The sequence below is a fragment of the Homo sapiens genome, chromosome 12 (genome assembly GCF_000001405.40).
Source record: "Homo sapiens chromosome 12, GRCh38.p14 Primary Assembly".
Taxonomy (NCBI): Eukaryota; Metazoa; Chordata; class Mammalia; order Primates; family Hominidae; genus Homo; species Homo sapiens.
The window spans coordinates 80,836,954-80,850,731 of NC_000012.12; the positions used below are offsets into that span (position 1 = coordinate 80,836,954).

The window sequence follows — 13,778 nt, forward strand, 5'->3', positions numbered from 1 at the left end:
TCAAAGACCAGGCAAGATGGGGGGCGGGGAAAGAAGGAAGAGGAGTCTGAATGGCTTTATTGATTGGATAGGCAGAAGCAGAAGGAGAAAAGTCTGAAAGTGAAAAGGGAAGAAAGAACTTGCATTGTCAGAACTAGGAGTAGAGTGGAAAATATTCAGTGTGTGCTGTTTTGAGACTAGAAAACCAACGTGCCCATGCTCTGTGGACAACTGGTTCCATTCCATAGCCCTATACACTTGTAAGCACTCTAGATTTATGATATTTACACATTGTAGAGGACTGGATAATTTCTCAAAGATATTAATATCAGGTCCTATTCCCCAGAACCTGTAAATATTACCTTTTATAGAAAAAAAGGTCTTTTCAGATACAATTAGGTTAAGGATCTTGAAATGAGGCGATTACCCTGCATTATCTCAGTGGGCCCTAAGAACTCACAAGTATCCTTATAGAGGGAGGTGGGAGATTTGGCGCAGAGAAGAAGGTAATAACGTTACCATGGAGATAGAGATTGGAATGAGGTGGCCACAAATCAAAGAATGCTGCAGTCACCAGAAGCTGAAGGGAGCAAGGAACAGATTCCCCAATAGCACCTCTAGAGGGAGCACAGCCCTGTTGATGCCTTGGTTTGGAGCTAGTGAAACTGATTTGGGATTTTTGGCTTCCAGGGCTGTGAGATAATACATTTCTGTTGTTTAAAAACCACCGTGTGTGGTAATTTGTTATAGCAGCCATAGGAAACTAATATACACATAACGGAGTTAAAAAATCCTGTTACTGTGACCAGTGTGAACCTGAACAAAATCACTGGGAGCATTTCCCTTAGGCTGGGATAACTGATGGATATGTTACATTTATATGTATGTATTTATCATCATCATCATCCTCATCATCATCATCATCATCATCATCATCATGTTCTTACTTTCTACCAGATTATAACCCTTTTTTTTTGTTTACCACTCCATATCCAGGACTTAGCTCAGTAGCTGGCACATAATAATTTCTCTACAAATAATTGTTGAATGAAAGAAAAGCATTGCTAAAATAACAGCACAAATAGAAGGAAAACACAAACAATAAATGGTAAAAATAACTATGAGAAAGACTGCACCAGTAACTAAACTGAATAGTCAAATACCCATTACCAGCAATCTAAATAGAGATTTAGGTCAGTCTGATCCCATGTGTGGGAATGCTTCCCTCATTTAGAGACTTGCCGTTTAGCACCGACTGACTGTGAGTGTGTTCTGGCACTGACACACTATCAGCACAATCTCTTGTATGCTCAAAGCTCAAGTTGATCTATGAAGGAATGAGAGACCTGGTGCCCATTCTTGCAGGCTGAAATCACCAGGTGGGAATGTAGTTGTTCTAACCTGTGAACTATAGTTACCTGTGCTATTGAGATAGCACGATATTTCCCTGTTCTGCTTTTTAAATTAAAAGATCTCTTATTGTGAGCCAACTCAGAATGAAGGGGGGTAGAATACTGCCTTCTCAGTGTTGCAAAATATACCAGATCATGCTGCATTGTTTGTGCTCTTCTGAAAGTGACTGGGATAAAACAACATAAATGTACTTCTCTTGGCTTCTTCACAAATGTGAGTGAAGTGTCACATGATGTCATGCCGAGAATAAAAATTTTCAGCACTTAGAACTGAAATTTCAGCTTGCACTCCTATTTAATTATAACCTAAACAGTCCCCCACTCAGCTTCTGAGAAAGGTAAAGCATCTGCTAACGACTTCTAGGAATAGAGAGATTGTGAGAATAGCTTTACTTGAGGTCTCTTAGCTGGAATTAAGCTGGGGATCTGTGTGCCAGGCCTATAGGGGAACTGAAGACTGAGCTTCTGTCTTTCCCCTCTTCATGCAAGCATCTGCTCCCCTCTAAGGGCCAAGTGGCTTTAGAGAGTGCTTGTGGACCAGGGCTGTTCAGTTAGCCGGGAATGCAAAGTGCCTGGTGCAAACTGGAATGATGCAGATATGGAACAATTCAAACACATTCAAACCAAACTCTTCACACATCTGCAGTGGTGAATTAGAGTACTGAGCCATTTGAATCAGAGTAAATTCCTTTTCAAAACCTTACTATCTTTAGAAGTGGTTTTTAACTTTTTAAAGGTCAAAGTCTCTTATGAGTAGTTAAGAAAAACAACTGATCTCTCTCCACCAAAAATTTACTTATGCAAACCCATAAAGGCTAAGAAAACTTGATCTTTTCTACATTGTACATGAAAGTACTAATTTATTAATGGCTAAGATATTTATTTACCTTAAATTATGATTAATAAGGCTAGACTGCCTGAGTTAGAATCTCTAGTTCTGCCATTTAGTAGCTATAGGAGATTGGGCAAGTTGCTTGATCTCTCTCTTCCTCAGTTTCTTCATTTGTAAAATGGGACTGATAATAATAACACCTACCACTGAGGATCATTACGGGTAAATAATGAATTCATTATGTAGAGTGCTTACAGCAGTGTCTGGCATTCAACAAATATATAGAGAGCTTTGACTATATACAGGGACTGTTCTAAGAATTGGGATAAGGCAATGAATACAAATTACTGCCATCATTGGAACATGCATTTTATTGTGAAACTTAAATCTTGCAGTGTAGTTCATAGCAATTAAAAAAACTTTTTATGTTTTCTCTTTGTTCCGACACAGATAAATAAGATCTTAATACAGATTTCCCCTCTGGGATGCTGTAGCTTCACAGAGCTCGAATCTACAGTTCTAATTTTTATTTCATCTTCATCCCACACCTGACAGCCATTCTGCATAAGTAATTTGGGCTGTGAGTACTTACTTTCAACTTGATATAGGTATTTATAAAATGTAAAAAAAGCCGATGGCAGGAAAACAATTTATTCTGTCCCATCCCTAAACTTTTATTCACTCATCTGTTATGCTTAAAAATCAATTAGCAATCTGTATACACTGTATAGACAATTTTATTTAGTTTTAACTGTAAAGCTAGGTAAATTCAGCTGCAATTTCCCACCAATGGTGCTCTAAGACAATGTTTGCATTTCAGAAGCAAATGAGGGCTTCTTTTCAGTATGCCATATTTTTTTTAAGTCCTCATGCTTATATTTTATCTTTCTATCCTTTTCTTTCCTGTTCCTCACCTGCCTCTCTCCCATCAGTACCAGTAAAATATCACCTTTTGGACTTTCTTGCTTTATAAAAATAAATAAATAATTATAGATTTAAGAGAAGTTGAAAAGTAATGTACAGGGACATCACATGCATCCTTTACCCAGCTTTCCCCAATATTAACATCTTACAAAATCATATTAAACCAGCGAATTGGAATTGGTACAATTCAGAGAGCTTACTCAGATTTCAGTGGGATTTGTTTTTAACATAACCAGTTATTACATTTGGTAAGCATCAGTTATGATTGCAGTAAAGGTTGAAATCCACTTTCTCACCTGCGTGCACGTGTGCACGTGTGTCTTTGGATGTGAGTTCATGTGTGCTTTTGTGTGTATCCATTGGGTTGTGTGTGTGACAGAGGGACAGAGAGAGAGAGGGAGGAAACACTCCTGGCCCTACTCTTTCATGAGACTGTGTTTCTGAGGAACAAATGAGAGAACATAATGTAAATACTGTTAAAAAAAACTATAAAGTACTAAATAAATAAAACATATTGTGTTAGATTTCTCATCTTTCCATTCAGAAAAAAATGTCTTATGAATAGGGTACACAGAGCATAGGTAGAGCCTACTCATCTGCCTCAGAGTGTAAGGCAGCATGTGTGTGTTGGTCAGGGGAGGGTTATATGGTACTCTCAGCAGAATCCCATTGGAAGACATAGAATCACATAGTCACAGACTTAGAAGGGACTTTGGGGCCAACCATTCCAACTCTGTACATGGTACTCATATTTTGAAATACTCTGATCAGGTGGTCTCCTAATCTCTGATTAAAACTTCAAATGATGAGCAAATTCTGCCTTATGATTTAGTCTTTCTCCATTTAGAGAGCTTTAAGTGTTTAAAAGCTCTTTATTATAATAAGATGACTACCCCATGACTTTTACACACTGGTCTTGGTTCTGCCATCTGGTGCCCCATACAATGGATGATAGCTGAAGACAGTCATCATTCCCCTAAATATTCTCTTCTCCACTATAAACAATTCAAGTCATTCTTTAACATGTTCCTCATATACAAGGTTGCTCTTCTCTGGGTGAGCTTATTTTTCTTTGCAAGGATGGAATGAGCACAATAGGGTGTGAGCTTAAGCCCAGGAGGCAGAGGTTGCAGTGAGCTGAGATCATACCACTGCACTCCAGCCTGGGCGACAGAGTGAGACCATGAGAAAGAAAGAAAGAAAAAAGAAAAGAAAAGAAAAGAAATGAAAAGAAAGAGGGAGGGAAGGAAGGAAGGAAGGAAGGAAGGAAGGAAGGAAGGAAGGAAGGAAGGAAGGAAGGAAGGAAGGAGGGAAAGAAAGTACGAACAGCACCCTCAAGAGCTGGACCAATCTCTTTCTGTGTTCTATACAAGATATTTATATCAGAGCCCCTACAATCACATTATGTTTTGTCCCCCTCCCTCAACTTGCTTTATATTCCTCTTGAAATCAACATTAAAATTCCCTAAAATTTTTTTCCCCAGGCTTTGATATTTAGTTGTTCCTCCCTGATTCTGCATATATGTAGCTAGTTTTTTTGGGCACAGGAGCAGGACTTCATGAAGATTCTTATTAAAATAGGCCTATTGTACCATTCTATTGAGACTTTTTATATCCTGACTCTATCACTAAATATATTTACGGTTGCCGCTGGCTCCACATTGGCTGCAACCCTTATAAATAGTCCTTGAGTTCTCTCTTAAAATTGCGGAGAAAACACTTGAGCATAAAAGGGTGAAAAGGAGATCATTAGAAAGCTATAAATTCTTACTGTAACATTTTGACCTCCTATTAATGTTAAATTTTAATTCAGCATTCAGTTGTAAGGTTTCACTGAGGATTGATATAAGAAGTAGCCATACACCAAAGGCCTCTGTATTTTCTATGGAATTGTATTAGGTGGTTCAATGTCTCATTTGTAACATTCCCATGGGAAATTTCTCTTGGTGCCTAGGGATAGAAAAAATTTTCTCTCCCAATGATTGCTGAGCTGACATGAGTTTCCATCTGTTTTTGACTTCTTAGAAGCTAGGAGGAAAAAATCAATTGTTCAATTGCTGTATTTTGTCTTTATTTTTATTTATTGATTTCCCCCCCTTTCCATCACACTTTATAACCTAACATTCCATGTTAATAGTTCTGTGTGTGTATATATATATTTCTGTCCTATTTAAAAAGTAAAGAAATTATTCCATGGACATTTAAACATCTGAAAAGACATCTGATGTGTTGTCCTGCTTATCTTTGATTGTTTGTCTAGTTTTATATTTTGCCTGCATTTAGAAAAAGGATATGTCATGGATCTGCCTAAATATATATATAATTTAAAGTTCAGAGAACTTATACTAAAGTAGTTAAGGTTTGCTTTAGCCCTCCAAAGCACTTCCTTTCATAATTTCTCAGTTTAGAATGGCATGTTCTGAAAATCTTCCATATTTAATCTCCTGAAATTGTACCTTATTTAAAGCCAAAAATATAAATCATTCAATCATTTGCTAATCTTTTCTTTTTTGGCCTTTCCATTACAGATTTTTTTTTCATTAAATATTGTTACCTGCCTAGAATTATTTACACTGATAAAACCTCTGGGCTCAGTGTTTGTTAGAAGCCCAGAGTTCTAGAATTGGATTAACTATTATTTGTGTGACTATGAACAAGTCACTGGGTCATGAAGTCTCTTATTTACAGAAAACTGCTTTTTGATGAACACCTGGTCAATATTAGGCATTGTTAAAGAGCACATAACTTACTTTTAAACAGTTTAAAATAGGTAGTTTATAATATATAGTTTGACTATATGAATGTGTAATACTTTAACCTTCAACTTTAGGAGCTTAATAAACCAGTCTAGGGTAGTTAGCCAGCATTAGCATTAGATTGGAAAGATAATACTCTAGAGGTGGCTACTATATGAGTAGCTGTTGCACCTACTTCAATGAAAAAATGATGCTTTACTTATTAGCAAGAATATGTCAGAAATGGATTTTCTTTGGTGAAATTAGTAGCCCATTAACTAGCAAAATAAATGTTATAAATGGAACTTAATTGGTAAGATGAGAGGTTTAAATATATGTGGGATATTACAATCTTGGAGACATTCCTCACCTTTGCATGAAGAGGATATAAAAATCTTAGGGAGGCCCATGGCCTATACCATAGGATTAATGACCAAAGTTTGATCACTAAACTACCCTATTTTCAACTGTCAATCTAATAGGATTTCTGATTGTCTGATGCTGAATATAAGGGTAACAAAGTTGTCTCATCTGCCTCACGTGAACCTTTTTCTAAGGTTATGATTAGAACACCTAAATGGACAGAGACCTGGGGTTGTATCAAATTTATGGAAGGGGTTGTGAGTCGAACACTGCCTTCTTGCTAATTAACGTTTGCTAACATATGCTTATATATGTAGCAGAGTTTGCCATAAGACTTACTTTTAACCTAACTAGCAAAAGCAGTATCACTGGGAGGTTGTTAATCCTCACCAACCTCAACCTTCACCAGTAGCCACATTTACCTGTCAAAGGTTTGTATGACCAAATTAACACAGGATAGCTCTCAACAAACATTTTGCCTCATTTTATTCTTCATCAGAGCCCTTCAAATTAGTTACTATTCCCTTTTTTCAGATAAGGGGATTAAAGTTTAGGGGATACTAATCCATAATCATATGAATATTGAGTGGTAGAACCTTATGTGTTTGATTCCAGATAAGGTAACTGCCGCCTCCCAGGTATATCAAAACATCATTGCAAGGAATGGGTAAGTAATTATGAAATGCGTACAGTGTGTTCCCTGCAAATGTTTATGCTAAACAAGGTCTGTTTAGCTCCCTTATAAGAAAGCTCAAAGTCAACCACGTATTAAATTTATTATATATATATATATTCTTACTTTACACAATTATAATTACTGTTAATATACTTTGAAATTTTTTAAACTTTTCATACTGTTTTTAAATCTATACCTTATTTGATTTATATAATATATTCAGAGAAATTGCAAGTTCATACTCTGGGGCATAAGCCTCTATGTGACGCAATTGTGTGACCTAGCTCTAGAGTCCTCTACCAGAAAGTTAGACTCTGAAATTATCACTTGAAACATGCTTTGAAAAAGTCACAGTTATCTAAAGGTCAATAAAAAGCTTATCTCAAAACATTATTACATAGAAAAAAGTAAGTAGTAATTGGAATGCTGAAGTGATAGAAAATATTCATGGGTTGAGAATTTTGATATACATTAGAGGACAGCAGAGTTGAAGGAATAGTTTTGGGTTCTATGAAACTACTAGTCAGTCTAAAAATAAGAAACAAATGAATAAAATTCAAGATATGAATACAGAAGAATTTCATTCTACAGTTACCAATAAAATATCATGTTCCAATTACATTTGATTTTGGATATTGTGTCCCAAGCATAAATCAATCTGGCCACAAATAACTGAAATCGAGTTTATATATTAAAATCCTTAAGTTCTTAGAAAAAAGATCTTAGGTTAATCGAAAGGTAACATTGATAAGTTTCTGTTTATATTTCTGAAATGTATGCTTTTAGGTAATTTATGTTTAATATAAGTGGATGTTATAGGGAGAAAATGTTTGTTTCATAGGAAACAATTTCTTTAGCAACTCCTTATTACAAGTGGAAGTGGTGGCATCCAGAGAATATGTTATGAGAAAATGTATATTCATACTTTTACTTTAAAATGTTACATATTTTAATTTACTCTAATTTCATTTAAAAACGAAAGCATATATTATGAATAGGTAATTTAATCAAACTCTTTTTTGGAGGAAGGCTAATATGTTTTTATTATACTATAGCTGTAGATCTGGCTTCAAGAATTTTGAGGCCGGGCGCGATGGTTCACGCCTGTAATCCCAGCACTTTGGGAGGCCGAGGCAGGCGGATCACGAGATCAGGAGATTGAGACAATCCTGGCTAACATGGTGAAACCTCATCTCTACTAAAAATACAAAAATTAACCGGGCTTGGTGGCGGGCGCCTGTAGTCCCAGCTACTTGGGAGGCTGAGGCAGCAGAATGGTGTGAACCCGGGAGGCGGAGCTTGCAGTGAGCTGAGATGGCACCACTGCACTCCAGCCTGGGGGACAGTGTGAGATTCCATCTCAAAAAAAAAAAAAAAAAAAAATTTTGAGTGCATTAGCCTTTTTCATATGTGTTATTATTACATAAACATTAAAATTACCCTTCCTCTGTAATTAAAATGAAAAACCCACACACATTACAAAGTAAGGAGCTATATCTTTATTCTTAAAATGTATGTATTTGCTTATAGTAACTTAGGATAAAAAGTATCTTGAAATTACTGTATTCTTGTAAATGTTACTTGGAGTATTATGGGAAGAAAGTCAGCTAGTTGGATTAATTTCCTGGGATGTTTTTTCAACTCACTGATATTTATCATAACTGAACATAATGAAATGAGACATAAAAATTAGATTGCAGCTTTTATAGGTTTAATATCCATCAATGCTTAGAAAGCTGGTTAGACATAAAATGAATATTTATTCTAGGTTTTCAACGTTGACTTCAGTAATAGCAGGGGGCAAAAAAAAAGAATGTGCTTAAGGAGAAAATCTCTGGTTATTTTATAAACATACCACTCCGTTCACTGATAGCAGCTGGTCTCCTCTTTTGAGGCCTCCGTGTCTTTCAGCCACCCCTCCAGGAATTATGCGAGAGATATAAATGGGGGAATTTTGCTCCTTTCCTCCCATCACATTAAAACCAAGGCCTTCATCAGTCTTTGGCAGTTCAACTACTCGAGGGTGGGAGTGGCCTTCACTAGCTGCAAAAGCTGCAACTGTTGCCTGAAAAAAAAAAAAAAAGATGGTCTTTTGGTAATAAAATGAGGGAAATAAAGGCTAATCATATGCTTTGCAGTGGGTAGCTCAGGCAACTTCTCATATTTTTATAGTATTCTCCTGTGAAAGAAAGAACACAAAAAGCAGAGGACTTTCTTCATTTAGATGCCATCTAGGATTTCTTTCTTTGGTAAAGTCCCACTCATCTATTTCCAGCTTCCTAGGGCTTATCTGTTATGACAGAATTTTCCTGTCTTCATAAAAATCCTTTCCAGTTACCTTGGTTAGCTGCAATTCTTCCTATTCCTGGAGTCCAAATAACTTTGTTATATGTACTATCTACTATTATAATTATTTTATACATGTGTTGACTATGAGCACCTTAAGAGCAGAGATGGCGTCTTGCACTCTTTTGTATGACACAGAGTCTAATCTGGTGCTTGCACATAAAAGTTCATAAGTATTTTTTTAATAAATTGAAGAGCACTTGTATGTATACATACTTTTGAATACATATGTAATCTTGCTATTGCCAACCCAAAAGCTTAGCAAATTTAACTTTTTTAAAAAATTAAGGATGCCTTAAAGAGAATGAAAACTAAAATAAAATAATAGATTCAAACAGATTATTGTTAGCTTATACCAATATACCATATTATTATTCCATACTGAGAAATCTTATCTGGAACAGGATTTTTCTTCCTATATTATACATTAATATTTCAATTATTATAACAAAATAGGCAATATGAAGTCAATGATTTTATACCTAGATATACAAAACATCATTTAATATGGACATAATTTGTTTTAAAATTCATGTACTGATTTCATTAAATGAGTTCAAGAAAACAACTTACCATTAGTTCCCACTAACCCCATAGAAATAAAATAACAGCACTTAGGTAGTTTCTATCAAGAAATGATTCTGTGCCTGCTTATTTTTCACTTTTATTAATTCACCTTGATCACAGTTGATTAGATGCCTGCTATAAAGTGACTTACTCAACACTGTGAAAATATTTATTCCCAACGACTGTACCTTCTTTTCCACACACAGCATTATCACATCAATTTAGCATTATGCTACTGTCTGCATTTAGTGAAAGATAGTGAATGACATGAAAACAATGGCTTGTTTTTAGCTACATGCATTTGCTCATGCAAACCTCATTGTCATGCATAGATTTTAATGGCTGACATGGATGCAATGCAGACAGCCCAGAAACAACCAGAAAATACTGTGCTATTGCAACATTATGCTGCTATCCTGCTGTTCTACATGAATAAGAAATGAGAATGGTAAAACACTACACAATTCACTTTCCCCTTAATTAAACCACGTAGGGATCATTTTTCTGTGTGTGTTCCACTTCAGTACAAGCAAAGCATGACATGATGATAATAACACCCTCTTTTTTTCCCTGAGTTTAAACAAAACAAAACAAAACAAAAAAACCTTACAAATCTACAGTGTTCAGTTACAGAGTAAAAACTAAAAAATCAAGAGAGAAACTAAACAAGCGTTGATGTAACACAAAATAATTAAATGGAAAATTCTACTCATTTTCAATGGTTATTTCTTATACATTATTAGAAAAATAAAGTATTTTTAAAAGCAAGTCATGTTTCTATTATAACATTTGTGTGTTTGTAAAAGAAGAGCTGCATCAGTGATTTTAGTTTAAAATTGGTATTTCCTAATGGCCTATTTTCCTGATAATTTCCTGATGTTATCGGTATAACATTTCCATTAGTAGGGTCTCTACAGTCTCTGGATTTGAGTCTTTAAAGGGCAGATGTGGTCACTACCACAAAAGGTGACAGGCGTTTTCTATAAGGTCTATGCCACATCCTTTCAGCAAGTTACCCACTGCTCAGCTGAATACACAGAAGTATCCTAGATCAGTGGGTGTCAGGTGAATTCTTTTCCTGTCTATTTGAAATCAAATCTTTAGACCGGTGCAAATAAATCTTCATGCACTGAATATGATACAGGTTCTTTCAGATCAGAAGAATGTGTCTGAAAATCATATAGTATTTCACACAATGAACCAGTAGATTTGCTTGTGCCAAATGGACATTAAGTGAGTTTAATGAAATCATTCTCCTTTCTTAAGCTACAGAAGCAGCAGAAACGTTCAATTTTCCATTAGGATTTTTACCTGAGAAGTAGTACTGGTTCTAGACTCTGGGCTGCCACTGATGTCTAAATTCTCTTACAGTGTACACACGAGAATACCTGAAACACACACGCGCACAATCAATTACTAGATAACTGGGGTCAAGTATATTTTTAAAGTTACTCAAGCCTTACCTTTGCTGTTGCCCTCGCACGGAATTCGGGACAGCCATTAACAGTTATCGTTTCATGCATATATTGATACACCTAAAATGTTCACATAAAAAGAAGAATGTGTAAGAACATGAAGAATAATAATTCTTTTATTGCAGAAAGAAAATTATATTTTCACTGTAGGAAAAAAATTCTCTATTGCAAAATAACATAGGTCTGATGTTTGGGAATGTACCTGATAGCACTCCTTAAACAGCAGATATTATTACTCATTGTGATTTTAGATACAATTACAGAAATCATTAAAATGTAGTAGAAAAAAATTGTTTCTTATAAACTTCCAGGGATGGGATTATAAAATCTTTGTATCTATGGTAAAATAAATTGCTTAAACTAAAGTACAGAAAAAAAAAAACTTAAAGGATGCCTTGAGGAAGATGTTTGGAAAAAAGTAACAAGGTTAAATGTGTTGGACTATATGTTCATTTTGGATTTAAATAGTATACGTAAAAATTTATTGCATAATGCATAGCAATAAAAGTCCATTTGGTACTAGGCTAGAGTATTTTTGGGGAGTGATCCATTAGCTATTTCAGTAAAAAAGGAAAGGGAAAAACTGCAATCGAAGGTTGAAAGGTTTTTTTCTTCCTTTATATTAATCTTATTTTACATGCTTAACTCAAAAATTAAATAAGTGAATCCAACATTTGATTAATTCACCCATTCAACAACTATTTGTTGAGTGTCTGGGACTAATCTCTTCCCTGCATTTTTGACTGGCTCATAATTTCTCAAATACATTTGGTTGAATCTCCACTAACGCTGACTCATCTTTCCCAGGTGACATGGTTAGAAGGAAATTGACAAAGTAGTCTGTACTAAAAAGGCAACAGTGCAATTCAGAATCTAACTTTTAGCTCTGAATCTCCACTTAACAATTATGAGGTGTTCAATTTCTATGGGAAATCTGAATGGAGACAGGAACAAGTTTCCAGAAGATCATTTATGGAATCTGAGATATGTTACTGCAAATTCTCCAGGTTACCTGAACAGCTGCTAAACGTACTTCCAGATTATTTCCTTGGAAATGCATTATTTTGTTTCATAGAGACAGCCTTTCCAAAAATAAATTATACTATTTGCTCTAATAGCCCATTTCAGAGGAGGATTTTCCCTGCCCTGCTTCTCTTGTAATAAACTCTCTCAAATCTGACCCTTCATTCCACCCTAGCTCATTATCTCTTGCTGCAAGCATTGCATTAGTGACTTAATTGGGTCTCCCTGCCATCAAACCATATACACTTTGGTGATCATCAAGTACCTACCTGACCATGTCCCTGCTGTGCTCTTGGCTGTCTGCTGCCCTTACTGCAAAGGTGATAAGGGCAAATACCTACAGGAGTCAAGCCACAGATAATAATGCAGAACTCAGCCTTCTCTCTAGTTTTATTTTCCTGTTTTCTTTTCTCCACCCCCACCATTCCTCAAACATATTGAACTCTCCAAGTTACCTAGGTCTCTGCACATGCCGTTTACTCTGCTAGGAATGCCCTTCCACCTGGCAGACTCTTATTCATCCAAATTTAATATGATGATAAAAGGTCAAATTCAAATATTGTCTCCTCTATTAAATGTTTTCTGCCTCCCTCAAGCAGAGTGAGTCTCTCCACAGTTCCTGGTCATCTGAATTTGTTTGAAGTTATTTTGGTTAACATTGCCAGGGAAAGTGACTTTGCCTGCATCCAAGGATGTTTATGAAGACAATCATTTAGCAAATAATTGGAATATTGTCATCAATTGAATAAAACAAAAGGTGATTTTGTAAGTGCTGGAGATAAATACCTGTACCTAATAAATATCACAAATTAAGAATAATTAGCCTTAAGACCCCAAATTGATTTTGAATTAGAAAGTGGTATATTCAAGGAGCAATACTGTGTAGTAGATAATTTCACAGACTCTGAAGATGGCTTGGAAGCAAACCGTAGCTGTACCATTTAATTGTATGATGTTTGTCAGTCACTTGATTTCTCTGATCCTCAATTTCCTCATTTTAAAAATGTGCCTTAAAATAGTAAGTAACTTCTAGGTCTGTTATGAGGATTAAATAAGATAAGAACAATTTGCCATGTTTAGTATGTTTCCAAAAGTTAGCTATCATTGTTATGCTGTTGCTGGCATTTGATGTTTCTCATCTTATTTGACCATGGATCTTTTGGGGAAAATCTCCTAAGATGAGCAGTTCGTGAACACTGTTTACATAGAATTGATCAAGGGCTGTAGTTCTCAACTGGGGACAATGTTGCCCTTCAGGAGACATTTGGCAATGTCTGGAGGCATTTTTGGTTGTCATAAATGGGATGCTACTGCATCTAGCATGTGGTGGCCAAGGATGCTGCTAAATTCCTACAATGCACAGTGAAGCCTCACAGAACAAAGAATTATCTGCCAAAATGTCAATAGGGCTGAGATTGAGAAATCCTGATCTAAGGAATTAAGCTA

General features: G+C 35.7%; 1 protein-coding gene across 5 annotated transcripts in view, besides 1 other annotated feature; it reads right to left on the bottom strand.

Moving 5' to 3' along the window:
- Window positions 1–13,778, bottom strand: part of LIN7A (lin-7 cell polarity scaffold A) — a 145,415-nt gene that overhangs the window by 44,434 nt on the left and 87,203 nt on the right. For 3 of the 5 annotated variants that reach the window (XM_011538928.4, NM_004664.4, NM_001324423.2), the window contains 2 exons: window positions 11,298–11,369; window positions 8,777–8,986 (listed from right to left, as the gene is read on the bottom strand). In XM_011538928.4, coding sequence (XP_011537230.3) covers window positions 8,777–8,986; window positions 11,298–11,369 — 282 coding nt within the window. Of the gene's footprint in view, window positions 1–8,776; window positions 8,987–11,145; window positions 11,223–11,297; window positions 11,370–13,778 lie in introns of all 5 variants that reach the window. The other 2 variants (NR_136888.3, NR_136887.2) reach the window with 1 other exon arrangement.
- Window positions 9,875–10,452: an enhancer, noted in NCBI's record as "OCT4-NANOG hESC enhancer chr12:81240607-81241184 (GRCh37/hg19 assembly coordinates)". NCBI's record gives its function as "activates a minimal SCP1, AML or CMV promoter by ChIP-STARR-seq in naive H9 embryonic stem cells {active_cell/tissue: H9 hESC(naive)}" and the evidence as "EXISTENCE:reporter gene assay evidence [ECO:0000049][PMID:30033119]".